General features: G+C 47.4%; 2 long non-coding RNA genes across 2 annotated transcripts, besides 2 other annotated features; one reads left to right on the top strand and one right to left on the bottom strand.

Annotated features, from left to right (window-relative positions):
- Positions 1-971: 971 nt before the first annotated feature.
- Positions 972-15,433, top strand: LOC105370101 (uncharacterized). The gene is made up of 3 exons (XR_941719.3): positions 972-1,056; positions 13,279-13,449; positions 14,920-15,433. It is a non-coding gene; the product is annotated as an uncharacterized LOC105370101 (long non-coding RNA).
- Positions 2,213-2,272: a silencer, noted in NCBI's record as "silent region_5148". NCBI's record gives its function as "represses an Ori minimal core promoter by ATAC-STARR-seq in GM12878 lymphoblastoid cells {active_cell/tissue: GM12878}" and the evidence as "EXISTENCE:reporter gene assay evidence [ECO:0000049][PMID:35858748]".
- Positions 2,443-2,492: an enhancer, noted in NCBI's record as "active region_7415". NCBI's record gives its function as "activates an Ori minimal core promoter by ATAC-STARR-seq in GM12878 lymphoblastoid cells {active_cell/tissue: GM12878}" and the evidence as "EXISTENCE:reporter gene assay evidence [ECO:0000049][PMID:35858748]".
- A 2,097-nt stretch (positions 15,434-17,530) lies between the features above and the next one.
- On the bottom strand, positions 17,531-18,060 carry LINC01072 (long intergenic non-protein coding RNA 1072). The gene is made up of 2 exons (NR_126380.1): positions 17,935-18,060; positions 17,531-17,835 (listed from the first exon to the last, which is right to left on the bottom strand). It is a non-coding gene; the product is annotated as a long intergenic non-protein coding RNA 1072 (long non-coding RNA).
- Between the last annotated feature and the right edge of the window lie 758 nt (positions 18,061-18,818).

Raw genomic sequence — 18,818 nt, 5'->3', positions numbered from 1 at the left:
CATAGGATTGTAACTTTGTAACTTCACTTCAGCCTCTGATTGGTCGCTTCCCACAACCAATCAGCTTGATTGTGGGCCAAGTCTTCCTTTGCATAGAACTGTAACTTTGTAACTTCACTTTGCAAACAGAGGCTTGCATCGGGTGTAACCTTTGTAACTTCACCTCAGCCTCTGGTTGCAGGTCACTACTTCATTTACATAGAGTGTACACCAGGTAACCAATGGGAAACCTCTAGAAGGTATTTAAACCCCAGAAAATTCTGTAAAAAGAGCCCCTATGCTCCAGCGGCTCCCACCCTGTGGAGCGTACTTTCATTTTCGATAAATCTCTCCTTTTGTTGCTTCCTTCTTTCCTTGCTTTGTTTGTGCGTTTTGTTCAATTCTTTGCTCAAAACGCCAACAACCTGGACCCCTCCACATTTCCTTGTATGAGTTTAAGCGGAGGAAACCTCTCTTATGCAGGCTCAAGTGGACTGGCCCCCTTTTGACTGGTTGCTGGTAGTCTCCTATTTTTTCAGGAAAACTGGCCCTGGTGGGGGATTTTCCTGTTTTGTTTAAGTTTCAGTTTGATTACGTGGCACTTAGCACAAGTGATTCCATTTTGGTCTGGCCTACTGGGGCCTAGTGCAGGAGCTCAGCCCAATTCAATGGCCTCCCATAAATCTTATTTAACACTTAGCACCACTGTGCACATGTGGAAGGTAAAACTCAGAGACGCTAAGTATCTGAGTGTGTCACAGAGCTAGTAAAAGGCAGAGCTGGGATCAGATACATTGATTCATTCACTCAAAAACCTTTTTTTATCGAGTGCATACTATGTATCAGCCTCTGGGTACTGAGCATGGGAGCAGAATCAGACACCCCGAACTGACAGGGCTCACAGACGAGAAGGGGAGACAGTTCTCAATCATAGAAATCACTTGTTCTCACAAACGGTGACACGTGCTATGAAGAAAAAGGCCTGAGAACTAGGAGGGCATCTAGAGGCGCCCTTTCTGGTCTAGGCGTCCTACAGGCAGCTGGAGGAAGACGTCTGAGCTGACATCAGATTCATGGGTAGGAGTCTACCAGGCCAGGGGGGTGAGTGCCTTCCAGTGCACAGAAAAGCTGTCCGGTTCCCGAAAGTTTCTTTTTCTTTCTCTCTCTGTGTGTGTGTGTGTGTGTGTGTGTGTGTGTGTGTGTGTGTGTTTGGGGGTCGGGGCAGGGTCTTGCTCTGTTGCCCAGGCTGGAGTAAAGTGAAACAATCGGCTTCACTGCAGCCTCGACTCGGGCACAAGCAATCCTCCTGTTTCGGCCTCCAGAGTAGCTGGGGCCACAGGAGCGCCACCGCGCCCCGCCTGAAGGTTTCTTCTCTCCATACTGGTAAAATCCTGAGCTGTGTTTGAGCCTCTCACAGGAGGAAGGTAACGTGACCTCCTCCAGCTCACTCACGTGACACTCGGTCCTCCTTGCGAACGGCTCTCTAAGAAGCTGTGGGAGTGACGCGCAGCCCCATTCCTCCACCCTTCTTGTGCCGGGTGTCCCCCACAGAAAAAAATGCGCCGGCCCCAGAGCTGCCGCCGACTGTTAAGGAAGGCCCTTTGCACCCAAGAATGGAAGCGGTGTGGGTCGGGGTGAGGGCCCCGAAAAGGGTGGTGAAGGCCCTGGCAGAGAGAACACTCAACGTTCTCTGCCAGCTGCTTCCCTGCTGGTCCCGGGAGCCCCAGCCTCCCTTCCACAGGGGCGGGGGAGGACACGGGGCGGGGGCGACACGCGTGGGGGTGGGGCGGACGTGGGCGGAGACACATGGGGGAGGGGCAGGCACCTGAAAGGAGGCGACACCGGGAGGAGGGGCACCCCGCGGGGAAGGGGTGGGGAGGGAAGCGAAGGGGCACCCCGCGGGGGAGGCGAGGGAAGGGGGCATCCCGCAGGGAAGGGGGTGGGGGAAGGGCACCCCCCGCGCGGGTCTGCCCTGGCTGGAGCATCCCGGGGTCCTCAGACTGCAGGAGCTGGGAGACCGAGACCAGCTCAGCTGCTCTTCCTCACTTCTGTGCCAAAAGGGAAAAGAAGTGCCGCGTTGGTGTGGCTGAGAAACGCCTCCTGGAAGAAGGGGCCTGACCCTGGAGCTGCCATGTTGGCACTTTTCTTCCAACCGCAGCCCGCCAGGCACAAACGCGAAGTCCCTGGAAGCGCAGCTCGAAAAGACAGGCGGCCCTCCAGGCTCCCTCCCTGGCGCTCCGGGCTCCACGCGGCCCTCGGCGCACTCGGAGCAGAGGGATGGGGACCCCGCCGAGGATCCAGGCCACCTGGGCAGGCCGGGTGCTCAGGACGCAGCCCGGGCTGTCCCATCGAAGGTGACAGCTCGCCCACCTCCCTGTGGCCTCGGGCGGGCCACGCTGTCATCCCTTGGAGGCTCCCCGCCAGGGGCCTGGCCTGAGCGCTAGGATGACAGGTGTGGGATGGTGAGGCTGCCTCCTCTGAGTTAGGTCAGATAGCCCAGAATATCTGCTTTGGAACGGAAAGGCCCCCCATTTATGTCACTGATGCTCGGCTGGTCAATAAAGCAGGACACAGAAGTTGTAGGAAAATTGATACTCCTCACCCCCGATTCAATAGAGCTATTTTCACTGGTAGTTCAAAAGAAAATGTGGCCAGGCGCAGTGGCTCACGCCTGTAATCCCAGCACTTTTGGGAGGCCGAGGTGGGTGGATCGCTTGAGGTCAGGAGTTCGAGACCAGCCTCGCCAACAAGGTGAAACCCCAACAAGGTGAAACCCCGTCTCTAATAAAAATACAAAAAGTAGCCGGGCGTGATGGCGGTTGCCTGTAATCCCAGCTACTCAGGAGGCTGGGGCAGGAGAATCGCTTGAACCCGGGAAGCAGAGGTTGCAGTGAGGTGAGATGGTGATGGTGCCACTGCACTCCAGCCTGGGTGACAGAGTGCAACTCTGCCTCAAAAAAAAAAAAAAAAAGAATATGTGGGCATATTTTAAAACCACCACAGCTAGTAATAGTCATAACAAAGAATTATATCATTTATTCATTTATTTGCAAGACTATCATATTTTAAATGCTGCTCCTCCTGATGTTAGAAAGTGTCTGGTTTTTTTTTTGTTTTTTTTTTTTACCATATTTGACAATAACATAAGTCTATTGGAGAAATTTTTACTGTAGTGTATTTATTTTTTTGAGAAGGTCTTGCTGTGTTACCCAGGCTGGAGTGAGTGAAGCAGTCACAGCTCACTGCAGCCTCAGCCTCCCAAGCTCAAACCATTCTCCCATCTCAGCCTCCCCCACATCAGCCTCCCTACTAACTGGGACTACAGGCAAGCACCACTGTGCTTGGCAATTTATTTTATTATTTTATTTTATTTTATAATTTTTTGTAGAGACAAGGTCTCACTATGTTGCCCAGGCTGGTCTTGAACTCCTGGGCTTATGCAATCCTCCGCTTCAGCCTCCCAAAGTGCTGAGATTACAGATGTGAGCATACACCATATCTATTAAAATTAAATAGTGTATTTAATAATTTCTTTTTATGAAGTTAAAAACAATAGTCCTCAAAAGAAAGAGTTTCTTAAAAACTCATTTAATTAAAGAATTAAGCTTTACGCAAAACAGATTATATCCACCGATGGTTACAAACATCAAAATTATTCAAAAGTCCCCCCAAACACTTCATCCTGGAATTTTAACTAATGCCTGAAATTAACTAATGCAGGAAACTTTAACTTAAGAACTTTCCTGATTCTTTAAACCAAATGTAGAGTTACTCTATGGGGCTTCAAGCCCCTACCTTCTTTATTTGGTCCTTTACAGTCTAAACCCTTTGGACATCACTAACTTAAAGGTTACTTTGATTTCAACTATCTTCTTTATACTCATCTCTATTTTCTGATTTTTCTAAAGTGAGTTTATGTTGTTTTCATAATTTTTATAAAAGTTATTTTCATTTTTAAAATTAACTTCAACTCTAAGAAATTTTTCAGGTCACATTTAAAAAATAGAAAAATGGGAGTTTTTAATGGCTTTATTAGATTTGTGTGTATGGATTACATGTCAATAAAAAGTTTACTCAAAAAACAAACCAGTTGTCATTGTGTACACCTGTAGTTCCAGCTACTTGGGGAGGCTGAGGAGGGAGGATCACTAGAGCCCAGGAGGTTGAGGCTGCAGTGAGCTACGATCATGCCACACTGCACTTCAGCCTGTGTAACAGAGCAAGATCTTGTCTCTAAAAAGGAAGAAGAAAAAGTACCCCACAAAAGTCTCAAACTGAAGGCTCATGGGCCAAATCCAGCCTCAGGGGACTTTCTCGGGCCTTGTTGACTTAGTTACCAAAATACAGGACAGTCCTCCGACACCACTAGGGGCTCCACTATCCGCCTGAACTGTGGCGGCCCTACCCACCCCAGGAGCCCTGGCAGGGAGCAAAGGGAGCTGCCCACTCTGTCCCCCCTTCTGACAGTCCCTGCACTGTCCCTGTGGTCTCTAGATGACCGGTGAGTAATCTCTTCATTAAGCTCTGCTTCAGTTATTCAAAGGTGGAGTGTTGTCCTTGCTGCTAGTTCCCCAAGCAGATTTCACAGGGTTGATGTGAAAAGCCAGACAGGTAGGGACAACATGGTTATAGATCCTAAAGAAAGACTAGAATGAAGTGACAATGATTATTTCTGGAATTACAGATGATTCTTATTTATTTTACCTTCTTTTTTTTTTTTTTAAAGAGACAAAGTCTCTCTCTGTCATCCAGGCTGGAGTGCAGTGGCCCCATCATAGTTCACTACAGCCTTGACCTCCTGGGTTCAAGCCATCCTCCCACCTCAGCCTCCAGAGTAGCTGGGACTATTTTTTTTTTTGTAGAGATGGGATCTCGCTATGTTGCCCAGGCTGCTCTTGACCTCCTGACCTCAAGCTATCCTCCTGCCTTGACTTCCCAAAGTGCTGGGATTACAGACATGAGCCACAGTTCTTAGTCCTTTATTTTATTTTCTATGGTCTCTATAATGCACTATTTTTTTATAACCATACCCGATATAAAGGGGCAAATGCCATTAATAGTATACATATTTATAATTAAAAATGAGGCCGGGCGCAGTGGTTCATGCCTGTAATCCCAGCACTTTGGGAGGCCAAGGCAGGTGGATCATCTGAGATCAAGAGTTCAAGACCACCCTGGCCAACATGGCAAAACACCATCCCTACTAAAAATACAAAAATTAGCCAGGTGTGGTGGTGAGCGCCTGTAATCCCAGCTACCCAGGAGGCTGAGGCAGGAGAATCGCTGGAACCCAGGAGGCAGAGGCTGCAGTGAGCTGAGATCACGCCACTGCACTCCAGCCTGGGCAATAGAGCAAGATTCCATCTCAAAAAAATAAAAATAAAAAATAAAAAAATAAGGCCAGGAGTAGCCCCAGAGGGAGTGTCTTGTGAGACGAGGATGCAATGCTAGTGTAGGGACATTGTCACAATAACCTAAATAGGACTGTAACCCCAGCACCATCCAGTAATGATTTTTCTGTTTTCAGGAGAAGTGGGTGGTTAACGGACCATAAATGCTGCTTGTTAAGCAAGTCAGCTACAGTGCTGTGGGCCCATTGGAGAAAAGATGCTTTGCATATCCATAAACTTCTAACACTGCAATTCTCCTGCCTACAATTTGCTTTCTTTAGGAAGCCTGTTTTCCTGAATATATATATATGTACGTATATATGTATGTGTATATGTATATATTAATATACATATATATATGAGATAATTTTCTTCTCCGTTTTCTTTTTTTTTTTTTTTGAGATGGAGTCTTGCTCTGTTGCCCAGGCTGGAGTGCAGTGGTGCCATCTCAGCCCACTACAACCTCCACCTCCCAGGTTCAAGTGATTCTCCTACCCCAGCCTCCCGAGTAGCTGGGACTACAGGCACCTGCCACCATGCCCAGCTAATTTTGTTTTTTGTATTTTTGGTAGAGATGTGGTTTTTCCATGTTGGCCAGGCTGGTCTTGAACTCCTGACCTCAGGTGATCTGCCCACCTCGGCCTCCCAAAGGGCTGGGATTACAGGCATGAGCAACAGTGCCTGGTCCTGTTTTCTTCTCTATCTGTTGTCATGGGCAGTCTGCATGGGACCACTGTCTCCCTCCCACCCACTCCCTTCCACCTCCCACAGAAGGGTTGAATTTGAACCTGTGAGGCATGTGCATCAGGCCTCTCACTTGCCTGGGCTCCTTCCAAGGCCTTCCAAGGCCTTCCAAGGGGTTGGTCAGGTGTTTCTGGAAAATTTGCAAGAGCGAAGTACCTCACAGCCCTCGGCCCAACTTGAGTCCCCTGCCACTCAGTCTCAGTGCATTCCCCTTTCTGTAGATGGAGTACCAGAGGGAAGTCTCTGCATTCAATTCTGAATCAATATTTACATTCATACCTAACTCGATATTTGTACTTGTGCATTTTTTCCCTTCAAGAGCTTCAGGCCTCACAAAACCAGGCTCTCCCCCACGCCCCCAACCGGTGCCACTGCCGCCTCTGTAGGTTGCTCTGAGCTGGCCTTGGGTCTGGGCAGAGCAGAGCTCCTCTGGGTCTGCTGCATGGCAGAGGAGCCTCCGCACCAGGACTCAGTCTAGAGCTGCTTGGACTCTGAGAACACACGGTTGGCAGAGGTGGAAAGCAGTGAGTGGAATCCAGTGGTTGCTTGACGATGCTCCTGACACGGAGTAAGGGAAGATGAAAGGCAGAGGTCCTGAAAACTGTCCCTCCCTTTGCCATCTCTGTGAGTTGTCTGTGCTGTTGTAACAAGTCACTGCCAATGCAGCGGCGTCAAACAACACGAGCCAATTCGCCTACAGTTCTAGAGGTTAGATGTCCAAAATGAGTATCGCTGGGCTTGTGGCATCATGTGACCTGCATTCCTGCCTCTCTCGTCCACTTTTAAGAACACTTGTGATCCCGTTGGGCCCACACGGAGAATCTCCCCATCTTAAAGTCAGCTGGTCAGAGAACTTAATTCCATATGCAACTTAATCCCCAGTTTGCCAAGTAACCTAACATAGCCACAGGTTCTGGGGGTTAGGTCGTAGACATTTTTGGGGGGACATTATTCTGCCTACCCCAGCATCCAAAGAACCAAAGCAAAGGCCCACAAAAGCGCAAGGGAGGCCGCCTTAATTTCTACAGCCCCCAAACTACACCGGCTCTTCCCAGAAAGCTGGCTCCCTGCTTCGCTTTGCTCAGCTGCTGTTTGGCCCTCCTCTCTGTTCTGGATCCCTGGACGGCAGGTGTAGGAAGCACTATTATTAGTAATACAGATGTTGGGCCCTTTCTCATGCTCTGATCTGCTTTCTAGGCTGATTTAGAATACAGATGTGCATTCCATTGTCCCCCCTCACCAGCCGCTCAGGTCTTCCAAGAACAGTGTTTTCTCCAGGGTGGGCCCAGGGGCTGTGCAGGTAGAGGCCTTGCTGCTCCTGTGTCCTCTCTCCCTGCCTCTGTCTCTCCCTCTTCCTTCCCTTCTCCTGTTCCTAGCTTTCTGTCAACTCTTCTGCTCCCATCATCAGAGTTGAGATGCAGTGCGGTAGAGTCCAGGAACATGGGCTTCGGACCTGAAAGCCCCACATTTGAATTCGAGCTCTTGGACGTGATCTAACGTCTCCAGGTTTTGTTTTTTCCTCATAAAATGCACAGGGATAATAACCGCACCTGCTGGGGTGTCACGGGAACCAAATGCCCCAACACCTGCGAAGGTGGGGGCAGAGCCGCCTCATGTTTAAGGGCCCCCTCCATCCTGGCTCTCCGCTTACTCAGTGTGTGGACTTGGACGTGACATTGAAAAGTTCTGTGTTTCCCTTCCTTCAGCTGTCAACTAGAGTTTCATACTTCATGACGGTGTGGTGAGATTGGTACTCAGAAAACATGCAAAATGGTGATACAAATTATATAAAATACAAACACAAATTATAAAAAATACAAATGATACAAATCAAAAATGCACAGACAAGATATAGTTTCAGGTTTAGCCAGACACAGTGGCTCACACCTGTAATCCCAGCACTTTGGGAGGCCAAGGCAGACGGATCACTTGAGGTCAGGAGTTCGAGACCAGCCTGGCCAACACAGCAAAACCCTGTCTGTACTAAAAATACAAAAATTAGTTGGGTGTAGTGGCAGGTGTCTGTAATCCCAGCTACTCGGGAGGCTGAGGAAGGAGAATCGCTTGAACCTGGGAGGCAGAGGTTGTGGTAAGCGGAGATCGCGCCATCGCACTCCAGCCTGGGCAACAAGAGCGAAACTCTGTCTCAAAAAACAAACAAACAACAACAACAACAACAACAACCACCAAGAATTTCCCAAGTTCTAACACCAGTGCCTCTTCTGACTTGCCATGTTATTTTCAGAGTCAGCCACTTCACATGGCAGGATCTCATTTCCATAAATGGTGGGGATTGGGAGGACGGGGAATGTTGGCTTTACTGCCTACAGGTGGAAAGGGGACCTAGCGAAGACCTCCATGCCCATCTGTGCTCCAGGTAGGCTGGGACTGAATCTGCCTGGACCACGGCTTACCATGCAGTAGGCACTTAATGGTGATCAAATGCATGAATGAATGAATGAATGAAACATTGGATTCTGGCTGAAACTTCATCTGACACAGATTGGAGCATCAGAGAAAAGTTTAGTCCTTTGCCAGGGCTGGAGAATTCTGTTTTTTTTTTAATTATTTTTTATTTATTTATTTATTTATGAGCCAGGGTCTCACTCTGTCATCCAGGCTGGACTGCAGTGGTGCTACCATGGCTCACTGCAACCTCCCGGGCTCAACGGATCCCCCCACCTCAGCCTCCCGAGTAGCTGATACCACAGGTGCGTGCCACCGTGCCCGGCTAATTTTTCGTATTTTTGGTAGAGATGAGGTTTGCCATGTTGCCCAAGCTTGTCTCAAACTCCTGAGCTCAAGCGATCCACCCACCATGGACTCCCAAAGTGCTGGGATTACAGGTGTGAGCCACCGTACACGGCCATTTTTTTTTTTTTTTTTTAAGAGACAAGGTCTCTCTCTGTCACCCAGGCTGGATTGCAGCGGCACGATCACTGCAGCCTTGACCTCCTGGGCAAAAACAATCCTCCTGCCTGGAACTCTCAAGTAGTTGGGACTACAGGCGTGTGTCCTGAATTCCTGGTTTTAAGTGATCCTCCCACCTTGGCCTCCCAAGTTTTGGGATTACTTGGTGTGAGCCCCTGTGCTTGGCTTCTTGTTTTTCTTTTTCTTTTCTTCTCTCTCTCTCTTTTTTTTTTTTTTTTTACTTTTCCCACATTTGTATGCCAAATGTGTATGTAGTCATTACCACAATCAAATCAAGAACATTTCTGTCACCCCGAAAGTTTCCCTGTGCTCCTTGTCAATTCTCCTTCACTGTCAGGCCCAGGCAATCACTGACCTGCTTTTGGGCACTATCACCTTTTTGGAACCTCATGTAAGTGGGACTATACTGTATGGACTCCTCTGTGGCTGCCTTTTTCACTCAACTCATGTTTCCAAGATTTATCTCTGCCGCCGCAGGCTGCAGTCCTGTGTCCCTTTTCATTGCTGGGAGTCCCATTGTGTGCACATTCACCTGCTCACGAGCTTTTGGGTAGTACATTACTCAGGGCTCTCCAGAGAACAGGATTAATAGGATGCAGCTGGGTAGGTGGCTAGACGGAGATTTATTCTAAGGAAGTGGCTCATGTGATTATGGAGGCTGGAGACCCAGGAGAGCCAATGTTGTCATTCTAGTCCGAAGGCCGGTAGGCTTCAAACCCAGGAAGACCTGATATTTCAGCTGGAATCTGAAATCAGGGAAAAAACCACTGTCCCTGCTTGAAGGCAGTCAGGCTGGAGGAATTTCCTCTTGCTGGCAGGAAGGCCAGGCCAGCCTTCGATCTCTTCAGGCCTTCAGCTGACTGGCAGGGTGGGGTCACGTCAGGGAGGCCGTCTGCTTCACACACCTGACCTCAGATCCAAATGTTCATCTCATCCAGAGACACCCACACACACACCCAGGATCAGGTTCCAACAAATGTCTGGGCACCCCTTGGCCCAGTTGAGTTGACACATAACATTGGCCATCACAATTTGGACCAGCGTGAGCATTTTTACAAGACTGTGGAGACGCATGTTGTCAGGTCTAAGAGTGCAGTGATTGAGCTGTATGGCAAGTGCATATGTAACTTTTTAAGTAAACTGTAAACTGTTTGCCAGACGGGGTTGTACCGTTTTACACTCCCATCAGCAGAGTAGGAGAGTTTCAGGTAGAACTGCCTAATTCTTGGCAAACAAATAAATGTGGAAGATAAATATTTTTATTGAAAATAAAATCCGAGCTTCGCACAGTGGCTCTCACCTGTAATCCCAACATTTTGGGAGGCTGAGGTAGACAGATGGCTTGAGCCCAGGAGTTCCAGACCAGCCTGGGAAACATAGCAAGACCCCATCTATGCAAAAAATAAAAAATTAGCTGGGTGTGTGGTACACATCTGTGGTCCCAACTACTCAGGAGGCTGAGGCAGGAGGATCGCTTGAATCCAGGAGTCCAAGGCTGCAGTGAGCCGTGATCACACTATGGCACTCCAGACTGGGTGACAAAACAAGACCCTGCCTCTTTTAAGAAAAAAACAAAAAAAAAAAAGGAGGCCAGGCATGGTGGCTCACACCTGCAATCTCAGCACTTTGGGAGGCTGAGGTGGGTGGATCGCGAGGTCAGGAGTTCAAGACCAGCCTGGCCAAGATGGTGAAACCCTGTCTGTACTAAAAATACAAAAATTAGCTGGGTGTGGTGGTGGGTGCTTGTAATCCCAGCCACTCAGGAGGCTGAGGCAGAGAACTGCTTGTACCCAGGAGGCGGAGGTTGCAGTGAGCCGAGATGGCACCACTGCAGATCTGTCCAGCCTGGGCGACAGAGCGACACTCCGTCTCAAAAAAAAAAAGGAAAGAAAAGAAGACCCCAGCTGAGTAGGCCTCACTGTGAAAGCAACATTGGAGGAAAGCCTTGAAGGAGGTGAGGTATATGTGGTGAAGAGTGAGGCCTGCATGGCCCAGGAGACATCAGGAGGTGACCCAGCATGCACACGTGAGCGAGGGACAGTGGGGGCTACCAAGGCTGGAGAGGGGAGGTGGTGGGGGGGCCCTGCTCACAGGTCACTCTGTAAAACTTTGTGTTTGCCTTAAGTGAAATGAGGAAGCTCCCAGGGATTTGGGCAGAGAAGTGGTATCATCTGATTTATGAAAGGGCCACTCTTGCTGCTGTGCTGAGGGCAGACTATGAGAGGGCAGGGAAGGAGCATGGAGGCTGCTTAGGAGGCTGGCACAGCCATCTAGGCTGGGCATAGTGGTGGCCCAGCATGCAGGTAGCAGTTGAGGTGGCAGTTGAGGTGGTGTGAAGGGGTCAAAAGCTGGATATAAATGGAAGATGGGGCCTGTAGGATATCCTGTCATGGTCACGGTGCAACATGGAGAAAAAGAAAGGAGTTGAGGATGAATTTGAGCTTCAGTTTTCATGGCCCTGTGAGACACAGTGGTCAAGGGTAAAGTCCAGGGTTTACCCAAAGAGTCTACTAGGCAAAAGTTGACATCCCAGAAGACTGTGTACTCGGCTTAAAAATTAGAGAAAAAAAGAAAAGAATTAGTAATCACTCCCTTCTAAGACTGCAAGAAACTTTGCCTGTTTAATCCATGGTATTCAGTGGAAAGGGGTCATCCTGCCCCAGATAACTTATAACCATAAGCTAGTTCCCAGGCATATTTTTAGTCTGAGCTCACAGAACTAGTTGGACAAAATCCCTTCAAGGTGACAGCTGGGTTTAAGGTGTCTCCAACCTGGGAGAAGCACCTGCCAATCCTCCTGGGAGGAATCATCTCCATCCTATGTCTCAAAGAAGCCCCACAAGATCTTCCAGTGAGTAGCTATTGAAGGAGTAATGGTCTTTTTCCCTTTTTGCAGCAAGAAAAAAGTCATTTTTAAAATGTTCCCTTACACAGCTTACAGATAAAAACTCATTACATGCACAAAGCAATGAGGCCCTATGAGAGAGAATAAACAGAAACAAGAGTCAGTGGAAATAGACCTACAAAGACTTCAGATTTTAGAATTATCAGACACAGAATGTAAACATTTAAAGAACAAAAAAATCAAGATTAGAAATATGTGAGGTAAATAAGAAATAAATAATGACCAAATAGAAGTTCTAGAAATTAAAAAATAGTAATAATAATTGAAATTTAAAACTCAACGGATGGATTTAACACATAGCTGAAGAAAGAATAGGTGAACTAAAAAATATAGCTAAAGAGGCCAGGTGTGGTGGCTCATGGCTGTAATCCCAGCACTTTGGGAGGCTGAGGCAGACGGATCACCTGAGGTCAGGAGTTCAAGAACCAACCTGGCCAACCTGGTGAAACCCTGTCTCTACTAAAAATACAAAAATTAGCTGGGCATGGTGGCAGGTACCTGTAATCCCAGCTACTGGGGAGGCTGGGGCACGAGAATCACTTGAACCCAGGAGGCAGAGGTTGCAGTGAGCCGAGATTGCACCACTACATACCAGCCTGGGTGATAGAGAGAGACTCCATCTCAAAAAATAAGTAAATAAATTATATATACACACACACACACACACACACACACAAACACACACACACACACACGAAGAAATTATCCAGAATGCAGCATGGAGAGTCAAAGAAATGACAGGTATGAAAAAGAGATTCAGAGACATGAAGAATGGCGAGAGGTCTCACATGTGTCTAATCAACATATTAGAAGTAAAGGAGACAGAGAGGGAGCAAAGACAATATCTGAAAAGAGTATAGCTGAGAATTTGTGAGAATTGACAAAAGATCCTATCCATAGATTCAGAAGTCCAAGAAATCTCAAGTCAAGGAAAAAAAAAAAACCACCAAGTCAAGACACATTAGACACTGAAACATGAAGATGAGTTCTACGGATTTGCATCTGACTGCACACACCTCTGCTAACATTTTGATTTCTTTTATTTGAGGTATTTTCTAAGTGTATGCTTATATGAAATTTGGATCATGCTGTATATTTATCCTGATTTTTAAAACTTAATATATTATGAAAATTTCTCCACATTGTTTTCTTCAAAATCATGGTTTTAAAGGCTTCATGACATTCCACCCTATATATGCATGACATTTTGTTTAAGCAGAACCCAGTTGTTGAACACTGTTGGACACTTAAGTTATTTCCACTTTGGGGCTATGTTAAATAATGCTTGTTGTACATAACTGTTCTCCACATCTCTGGTTATTTCTTTAGGGTGGACTCCTAGGAGCGGGATGGCTGGGTGAAGGATATGAACTCTGTTAAGGGTTTTGATGCATATTGCCAAACCACTTTCCAAAAAGCCCGTGATGATTCCTCCCCGATCGGCAGCTCACAGGTGCACCTTTCCCCACGCAGGAGGACTTCTCACCTAACTTTACTCAGGTAAATTCATGATAGGTTGGTGGACTCACCCCCCAAATGTTAATTGACTTTCATTTGTGCATCTCTCCCAAATCAAATGGCCCTGCTATTCATATGCTAATAAAAAGGAAACCACTTCACATCTCACTTCAGAACAAAAGTAACGAAAATCCCTTAGGAACATACACATGTGAAAACTTGAAAACCCTTTCAGCTATTAAGCTTTGCTTCCTTGTTTTCCAAAATGACTATGCTTCATTTACTTGAACACGTTTTAAAATGCAGTTGTCATCCATTCCATGTCTCCCAAAGCTGGACAGTTTGTTTTATGATAAATGGTGGCCTTAGCTCATATCACGTGATTAGAGGGAATTCAGCACACGTCCCAGCCTCTAATCACAGCTCTAATCTCGTTTTCACATTTTGCTCTGGTTATCCTACTTGACTCTGCTGACTGAGGCACTTTCATTGTGCTGGTTAAAAGGACAGGGATTGAGCAGAAACAAGAGTGAGGTCTGAGAACTGTTTTTATACCATGTGCCCATCCAGCTCTACAGCCAAATGAATCAAAAAGATCTGGAGTATAGCCAAAGCCACTTGACAGAAAACTCCGACTTCCAAAAAGTATTCTTGGTGCTTTTTAAAAACACTGTAATTTGCCCAGGTTGAAAGAAAAAGGCCTGTTTGTTCACAGTAAAGGCACAGCTAGTTAGCGAGCCAGCGTATGATCCAGAACTCTGCAAACCCTTTCTGTAAAGGGCTGGATAGTAAATATTTTGGATATTGTGAGACAAATAGTGTCCGATGCTACTGCTAAATTTGACAACTGTCACACAAAAGCAGCCACGGTTATTAAGTGGACCCATGGGTGTGGCTGTGTACTAGCACTTTTTTTTTTTTTTTGAGACAGAGTCTCGCTCTGTGGCCCAGGCTGGAGTGCAGTGGCGTGATCTCGGCTCACTGAAACCTCTGCCTCCCGGGTTCAAGCAATTCTCGTGCCTCAGTCTCCTGAGTAGCTGGAATTACAGGTGTTCACCACCACACCTGGCTGATTTTTCTATTTTTAGTAGAGAAAGGGTTTCACCATGTTAACCAGGCTGGGCTGGAACTCCTGACCTCAGGTGATCTGCCCACCTCGGCCTCCCAAAGTGCTGGGATTACAGGTGTGAGCCACCACACCCAGCCACCGGTACTTCTTTACCCAAAAAGGGCAGTGGCGGGATGGCCTGCAGGCAGTAGTTTTGGCAATCCCTGTTATATAATCTAAGTTACCTCTAAGACTCCTTCCAACTCTGGGATTCTTTCAATCTGTTACCTTTGGGGTGTGTGGCATTTTGGATTTAAGTTGCTCAATGTTGGCTGATGTTAGGGATGGCAGTGGAGGGGAAGGAGGTTCCGCTAACACCCAGAGGCAAACAGGACCAGCGCAGTGGCCAGCCCCAGCTGGAGGAGGCTGGACTCAGGGTTGTGTCCTTTTCTCTTTTGCCTTAGGCGTTAACATCTGAGCTTTTTCTGACTCAATTCCTGTTAAATGTCTATAACTGCGGGGGAGTCTTCCAGTTCTACAGATGCATGGAATCTGCGTTGTGTGGTGAGGAGAGGCAGCTGATGGACCCACCCTGCCTGGAAGAACAGCACCGTGGGGAAGCGCAAAGGGCTGGGCGCCAGTGACCCCTCCACAGACTATTTTGGAAGAAATATGGGTCCAAATGAACTGCCCTGTGACAACTGAAGTGCCAGCTTCTAGGACAGCCTCAAAAGGGAAATCGAGTTGTCACCACTCTTCTCCCTTTCACCAGCAAAGTTCTCAGAAGGGGGCACCGTTTCTTCCTCGAGCTCCTGGTCTGTGTTTTGAACTCAGCGTCAAGGTTGGCCCCAGTGCACCTGACACAGGCACCCCCTCATTGTCCCCCGACCTCACGGCAGTGCATTTACCGACCTCCAGGCCCTGGCAGTGCCTTCTTTGTCTCTTCCTCTTTTGCTTCTCCTTCAGTGTGGGCACTCCCAGAAGTTCTGTCCTTTGTTCTTTCCCCTTTAGGCATCGTCCTTCAGAGATCCTGTCCACCTCTGGGTCCGCGTCTCTTTGTGATCAACTCCAGCCTCTTCCCTCCTTCCCATGAGCTCTGCATTGCACCTGGGTCCACCTGGACCCCAGCCACGGTGAGCAGCTGGACTGAGGACGGGCCACACCCTGGGCCTGCTCCTGACCATGCTCCTTCCATTTGTGGGATATTTCATCACCCCAAACTCAAAACCCCAGAATAACCCGTGCACTTCTCCCTTGTCTGCTGTCCCAAATCCCTTTGTTCTTCCATCCTAGCACCTCCTCCAGTGGCCCTTCCTTTCAGTTTCTGCCACCGGCTCCCTGGGCTGTCCCCTGCACTCTCTGGGCAGGCTGGCCCCCACTCAGCCTATCTTGAACACAACTGCTCAGACTCATGCTTTAAAGCCCCCTCTTGAAGTCACTCACCTAATTGAAAGCCACCTGTGAGTTCCTGCTTAAGCAAAGTTGCGAGGCCTTCCATGAAGGGCTTTGAGCAGCGGGCCTGCCCCATTGCCTGGCCACCCCTTACTCTGCAGCCAGCCTGTGGGGGGCTGCTCACTGTTCTTCCCACATGCCCAGTGGTTCCCTTCCTCGGTGACTTCACTTCTTTCATCCCTGACAATAAAATGCCTTCTTTTTCTCTATCTGTTCCCCAACTCCAATTTAAAGTCCCTGCACAATATTTTCCCAGGTCACCGTGGCTGAACTCGATTCTTTGTCCTCTGTACCCTGTGGAACTTAGTCTGTGTCCCTCCCGCCACGTCGCCTGATGCTGTATGTGGGAGCCGTCTTCCTGGTGGACAGTGAGCTCCCTGGGCAGGCACTGAGTGTCCCTATGGTATCCCTTGTAGGGTACACCTTGAGGATACACCTCACCCACTGTAGGTATCCAAGTAACATTTGATCCAGTGAATAAGTATGAATGAATGAAGGATATTGTTAAGTATGAATGAACGAAGGATATTGTTTTCCCCGTTTCTGGAGAAAAAAATCCACAAAAGCCTGTTTGTCTTGGTGTTGCTTTTTTTGTACCCTTTAACCCATTCCACAGATTAGCAACAACATGTATTTCATTGGTGGTTCTTAATAAACATTAAATTAGGCCAGGTGCAGTGGCTCACACCTGTATTCCCAGCACTTTGGGAGGCAGAGGAGGGAGGATCACTTGAGCCCAGGAGTTCAAGACCAGCAAGGGCAACATAGTGAGACCCCTGTCTCTAAAAAATATTTTTAAAAATTTGCTGGGCACGGTGGCACACACTTGTAGTCCCAGTTACTCAGGACATTGAGGCCTGAAGATCGCTTAAGCCCAGGAGTTGGAGGTCACAGCAGTGAGTTATGATCAAGCCACTGTACTCCAGCCTGGGTGAGTAAGACCGTCTCAGTCAACCAATATCAAATTAATCTTGGTGACTTTAACAAAGGGAGGGAAATAGAATGGCAGTACCTTCCTTTAGGCTTTAAAAATGTTTTAAAGGGCATGATAGTAAAGTGTAGAAATATTTCATATAATATTTAATATAATCAAAACTCCTCAGAGGAAGTGTGTAAAACACTTCCGATATACCAGAGGAAAGGTGGAAGATAAAAATGCTTTTGTTTACGTACAAATAATATGGATATATAGAGGACTAGATGGGGGGAATACTGATATGCTTAGGGGGTCAAATTTCAGATATATTTGCTGTATTAAAATATTTCCTCTTTATGGTTACCATTTTATATTCTTTACTGCTTTTACAAAATAATATGACTCCAGGCCAGGCACAGTGGCTCACGTCTGTAATCCCAGCATTTTAGGAAGCTGAGGTGGGCAGATCATTTGAGGTCAGGAGTTTGGGACCAGCCTGGCCAACATGGTGAAACACTGTCTATACTAAAAATACAAAAATTAGCCAGGTGCGGTGGTGAGTGCCTGTAATACCAGCTACTTGGGAGGCTGAGGCACAAGAATCACTTTAACCCGGGGGCAGAGGTTGCTGAGAGCCGAGATTGCACCACTGCACTCCAACCTGTGCGATAAAGTACAAATAATGATAATAAGACTCCAAATATTAAATAACCTAAAGCAGGATCTTTTACTGATAAGAATCTGAATTTTCCAGAAAGCTGTGATTTAGAAATCCAAACTCCAAAAAGTAATTAAGGAGTTTCTGCTATCTCTGACACAAAACTCTTTAACATCTTTTTTGCCTCGTGTCTCTAACTTCCTGCATTTCACTAGAATGTGTTCCCGTCTGCCTTTCCTGATGCAGTGCCAGTCTGTGGCTGCAGCTCTTTTTGGGTGTTAACTGAACGCTTGCCCACGTGATGTTCTCATTAGATTCAATAGGACGGAGAAGCTTCTGGTGCGCACCATCAGACTTGGGGAGAGAAGGGGAAAGAAGAATGAGAATTTAAACAACAATCTCTCATTTCAGAAGGTTTCCTTTTTCCCAGAAAAGTCTTTGAGTAAAACTCACTTAGATGTTGAGAGCTTCTAGAATGTACCACAGAGCTGGGCTTTCAGTGATAAAATCAACCCCTTCTCTCTTGGTGAGTGCTCCTCCATGTCACTAGCCAGCAACGTTCCTCAAACAGGAGAATCTGTCAGACACTGCCAAAGAGAAAAATCCTCTCCCTCCTTCACACGCTGAGGATTAAAGGAGTTGTAACTGATGCTGACAAGTATACACAGGCATTCCATGTGGGGACCTGAGGCTGCTAGACTTCCTCACCCACTTAAGTCAAAACGCTGCCTTCTTACCAAAAGGAGCAAGTTCAGGTAGATCCAGATGGGCTCAGGAGACAACAAATACTACTTCTGTTATAGAATTTTTTCCCTTCAAGTGCAGGATCAATACCATGATTGCAGAGTGCATTTGGTGTAAAGGGAGTGCAGCCCCTTTGCTCTCTGGCTCTCTGGAGGCACTCCCGTGCCCTTCTGCCTCCCGTTGCCGGATGAGCCATCTCCAGATGCCGACCCCTTGATATTGGATTTCCCAGCCTCCAGAAGTGTGAGCAATACATTTATTTTCTTTATAAGCTAGCCAGTCTGTGGTATTCTATTATAGCAGCACAAAACAGAATGAAACACTGCCCAACCCCCAGTACATTCCCACAAGCACCCATTTGGACACTTTGTCCTCTTGGGTAAAAAGTCTTTGCTGATAAGATCTGTCACCCCAGTGAGACTGAGTGCCTTGAAAATGTCCCGAGACACTGAGTGCTTCCTCCAGCCTCCAGTACGGGAAAGATCCTCAGAGAAAGCATTTAATGCAGTCCCTATTAATCCAAATCACACAGCACAGCATGGAAATGCAATTTGGAGAGCAACTAATCTGCAGTAACGACAGATATGGAAGCA

This window comes from Homo sapiens, chromosome 13, assembly GCF_000001405.40.
Source record: "Homo sapiens chromosome 13, GRCh38.p14 Primary Assembly".
Taxonomy (NCBI): Eukaryota; Metazoa; Chordata; class Mammalia; order Primates; family Hominidae; genus Homo; species Homo sapiens.
This window is presented reverse-complemented; position numbering and strand designations above follow the sequence as displayed.